General features: G+C 51.3%; 1 protein-coding gene across 1 annotated transcript; it reads left to right on the top strand.

Annotated features, from left to right (window-relative positions):
• On the top strand, nucleotides 222-4425 carry TEX13D (TEX13 family member D). The gene has a single exon (NM_001355534.2). The coding sequence runs from the start codon at nucleotides 480-482 to the stop codon at nucleotides 2622-2624; it is 2145 nt and encodes a 714-aa protein (NP_001342463.1). The 5' UTR covers nucleotides 222-479; the 3' UTR covers nucleotides 2625-4425.

The following is a 4503-nucleotide window of genomic DNA, read 5'->3' on the forward strand; positions in this document are numbered from 1 at the left end:
GACAAGAACAGCACCCATATATACACCTATCCAACTCCATCACCTGGCTAGGGATTCATTCCATGATACTGGATATTGTCCTTCCTAAGCTATTGGAAACAAAGGTTCTGTTGGGTCACTACAGTCTGCAGCGCACCGATTTTCCCTGTGGGGAGCGCTGTGCCAAATGAAGCTGGTCCCAGCAAGCCTTGCCGGTCCCAGCCAGCCTTGCGGCACGACTCAGCTTTTCTCTGTGACATGTCGCGGAGTCGCCGGTAGGGTTCGGTGTGGCGAGGGGGACCTGCTTCTCTCTTTGTGAGAACCAGGGAGTGAGGGAGGAAGGAGGCCAAGGAGGAGGCCAGGACTGAGCAAGGACTAAAGTAAGACTGAAAGGGGAGGTGAGGGGTGGACTGGTTGTCGGCAGCAGCCGGTACCGGAAGTGGCGGCAGCAGCTGAGGCGACGCACCGTGAGGCAGCTGCTTGACTAGGCCACAGCCGCCATGGCGATGAATTTTGGGGACCATGCCAGCGGCTTCCGCCACAATGATGTGATCAGGTTCATTAACAATGAAGTCCTCATGGACGGCAGCGGCCCAGCCTTTTACGTGGCCTTCCGCTCGCGGCCGTGGAACGAGGTAGAGGACAGCCTTCAGGCCATTGTGGCCGACTCTCAGGTGCCGCGCGCCATCAAGAGGGCCTGTACCTGGAGCGCTTTGGCTTTGAGCGTGCGAGTGGCCACGAGGCAGCGGGAGGAGCTGCTGCACCACGTTCGGCGGCTGCAAAGGCATGCGGAGGAGCGCCAGGCGACCTCCTGGGCTCTAACGTCCCAGCTGCAGCAGCTGCGCCTGGAGCATGAGGTGGCGGCAACACAGCTGCACCTCGCGCAGGCTGCCCTGCAGCAGGCGCTGAATGAGCGTGATGGGCTGTACGGGAGGCTGCTCCAGATCGAGAGGTTTCCCCAGGCCGCTCCACTGGCCCATGAAATAATGTCTGGGCCGCAAGCAGAGCAGAATGGGGCTGCGGCATGTCCCCTGGCTACAGAGCAGCAGAGCGATATGGTGGCCATGGGGACACATGCTAATGCCCAGATGCCAACCCCGACAGATGTTCTTTATGTGCCAGGACCTCTGAGTCCCTGGGCCCAGGGCATGCAACCCCCTCTGCCAGTGCCACATCCATTCCCACACCCACCACCATTCCCAATGAAATTCCCATCCTTGCCACCTCTACCACCTGCTGTAGTCACGGGGGCAGAAGCAGCAGCAGTCCCACTTCAGATGCCTCCTACTGAGATCCACCCACCTTGCCCGTGGCCTGCAGTGGGCTTCCAGGAGGAGATGGCCCCTCTGTGGTACCAGAGAAGCTACATCCAGGAGGAAGATTCCAAAATCCTTCAGGGGTCATTCCCCTTAGGAGACAGCAGAAGCCACAGCCAGGGAGAAGGTTCAGAGAGGTCCCAAAGAATGCCCCTCCCCGGGGACAGTGGGTGCCACAACCCGCTGTCAGAGAGTCCCCAGGGGACAGCCCCACTGGGGAGCAGCGGATGCCACTCCCAGGAAGAAGGTACAGAAGGACCCCAGGGGATGGATCCCCTGGGGAACAGAGAGAGACAAAATCAGAAAGAAGGTCCAAAGAGGGCCCGGAGGATGCACACCCTGGTGTTTCGCAGGAGCCACAAATCAGAAGGTCCAGAGGGGCCCCAGGGGACGGTCCCCCAGGGAGACAGCAGAAGCTACAGCCAGGAAGGATGTTCAGATAGGGCCCAGGAGATGGCCACCCTGGTGTTTATCAGGAGGTGCAAACCAGAAGGTCCAAAGAGGCCCCAGTGGACTGTCCCCCTGGGGGACAGCAGAAGTCATATCAAGGAAGAAGGCCCAGAGGGGCCCCAGAGGATTGTCCTCCAGGGAGACAACAGGAGCTATAGCCAGGAAGGAAGCCCAGAGAGGGCCCAGGGGATGGCCACCCTGGTGTTTAGCAGGAGCTGCAAACCAGAAGAAGGTCCAGAGAGGCCCCAGGACACTCCCCTGGGGGACAGCAGAAGTCATATCAAGGAAGAAGGCCCAGAGGGGCCCCAGAGGATTGTCCTCCAGGGAGACAACAGGAGCTATAGCCAGGAAGGAAGCCCAGAGAGGGCCCAGGGGATGGCCACCCTGGTGTTTAGCAGGAGCTGCAAACCAGAAGAAGGTCCAGAGAGGCCCCAGGACACTCCCCTGGGGGACAGCAGAAGTCATATCAAGGAAGAAGGCCCAGAGGGGCCCCAGAGGATTGTCCTCCAGGGAGACAACAGAAGCTATAGCCAGGAAGGAAGCCGAGAGAGGGCCCAGGGGATGGCCACCCTGGTGTTTAGCAGGAGCTGCAAACCAGAAGAAGGTCCAGAGAGGCCCCAGGGCACTCCCCTGGGGGACAGCAGGAGCCATGGTGTCAGAGAAAGCCCAAAGAAATGGCAACCTCAGAGGCAGAAGGCCAAGAAACCAAAAGTGAATAAAGTCTCGGGATCCCAGCAGCAGGAGAAGCCTGCCTCATTTCCAGTTCCAGTGAATTGGAAATGCCCATGGTGTAAAGCCATTAATTTTTCATGGCGTACGGCCTGCTATAAATGCAAGAAAGCCTGTGTGCCATTTGAGAGTGGAGGACAAACTCAGTGATTTCAGGAAGGTAAGTAAGAATGGACACACTTCAAAGAGAAAGCAATTTCCTAAGACCCTCTTCTGATTAAAGTATAACTTATTTACTTCACAGAAAAATTGAACCCCAAATTATGGAGAAAATTAAATAAAATAATTTATTATCCCATTACCCAAATTAGCCATTTTAAAAGTTGTTTTGGATACACATACATACAAATATATATGCATTTATATTCTCATGTTATTCATTTACTTGAACAGAGATGGACTACTTTTGATTTCTCCTGATTGCATTTAAATTTTGCAGGTGGTGGATTCTGGATGGCCGATGCTGATTGGTTAATACCCTGGAGAAGCTGAAGTCATGAAGCCTTTTCTTTTCCTTTTTGTTTCACTCCTTTTCCTGAAAAAGCCATGTATGTGGCTGGGAGCAGTTGTGTGATTTTAGAGTTAGAAGATATGTTGAATTTTAGGAACAGTACTTTTCCTTGAAAATGCTGTTATTCCTTTGGAAACAAATTTTAGAATCACCACACTTCCTTGAAAATGCTATTATTCCTTTTGAAACTACTGCAATCTTCATGTTTTCTTCATTTTGCTTTGTTGGTTTTATAGGTGAGGTTCTGTTTTTGTATCTCAGCCCCACCAAACTTGCTTGTTGCTGAAGAAGCTGAACCTGTTCCATTAGAAGATCTTCCAAAGCCAAAAGAAAGTGAGACTGACTGCAGACTTACTGGCTGCAGCAGAGAGGAGTAAGAGGAAGTCAGAGAAGAAGAGATGATTTGACACTCATTGGGGGAAAAGGAAGAGCAGAATTGTTTTGTTAGAATTGAATTTTTCCACTGGGACAAGGAATTAACTTGGAAGAGTTTGGGGGGTTGTGTTCAATTCTGTAGATGGTAGCAACTTTGATGAATTTCGTTTAGTTTGTTAAATAGTTATTGTCTAATATGTGTTAGGAGCTAGACTTATAGGTTATTATTTGGTGCACACATCATAATCCTTGTTGCTGAGTTGGTTAGAAGATAGGAGAGAGCATAATTTGGGATACAAATTAGATCAGGGGTATCTTCTTTGCCTTGCATGTAGTGTTGCCTTAGGTAAAACCAATTTAAATAACATCTAGATCCATTTTTGCAGTTTTGTGGGCAATGTGAAAGAGACTTGCATGAAAGGTCTTGAGTAACCAAACTGCTAGTCTCATTGGTTTGCAGGTGAGACAAATAAGCAGTGGCAAAGTTCAGGAAAGTGGTCTTACAGAAGTGCAGGCAGGGCTTTTCTGATTGTCTGCTGATTTCCTCCTTTGAGAGGGACAGATATTTTCCTGGCTGCCAGTAAGCCTGCCTGAAAGACCACTGGGGTGTCTTGAAGAAAGACAGTGCTCTGAGGAGTATTCACTACACACTCCAGCCCTCAGCCTCGGGCTGCCCCCATTCCAAGTCCCTTTCTAGTCAATAGGTGGATGAAGAACAAAATGGATTTCAAGGACAGACAGACAGACATAAGGGCTGTGGGCTATGGATGGTGTTTCTCTTGAGAGGACTAATTGGGTTAAAAATAAAACTGGACAGGGGCGAGCACTCTTGGGAATGCCCCTGGACCCTTCCTCTTTGGCGTGTTCTCTGCAGGCTCCCCCAAGGCAGCTGCTGCAAGGCAAGGAGGGATCCAGGGTAGAGCTCAGGGATGGTGGGTTAGATCTGCCTCCAGTCCAAGCTAAAGATGTCTTCAAGTTTCCCTGTAAGATCCCGCCCAGCTCACCAAAATCAACCTTTGTCAGGGGTTTTCTGATCCTAACTAGTAATAAAGAGTGTGCACTGGACTGCTGTGTCTTCTGTGTAGTGTGTATCTCAGGGCAAATTTTCTCAGAGGTGGAAGCTTAAATCTTCATCTTTCCTTC

This window comes from Homo sapiens, chromosome X (genome assembly GCF_000001405.40).
Source record: "Homo sapiens chromosome X, GRCh38.p14 Primary Assembly".
Taxonomy (NCBI): domain Eukaryota; kingdom Metazoa; phylum Chordata; class Mammalia; order Primates; family Hominidae; genus Homo; species Homo sapiens.

Coding starts and splice junctions, on each gene's coding strand:
- TEX13D (NM_001355534.2), top strand. CDS start 480: ATGGCGATGAATTTTGGGGACCATGCCAGCGGCTTCCGCCACAATGAT.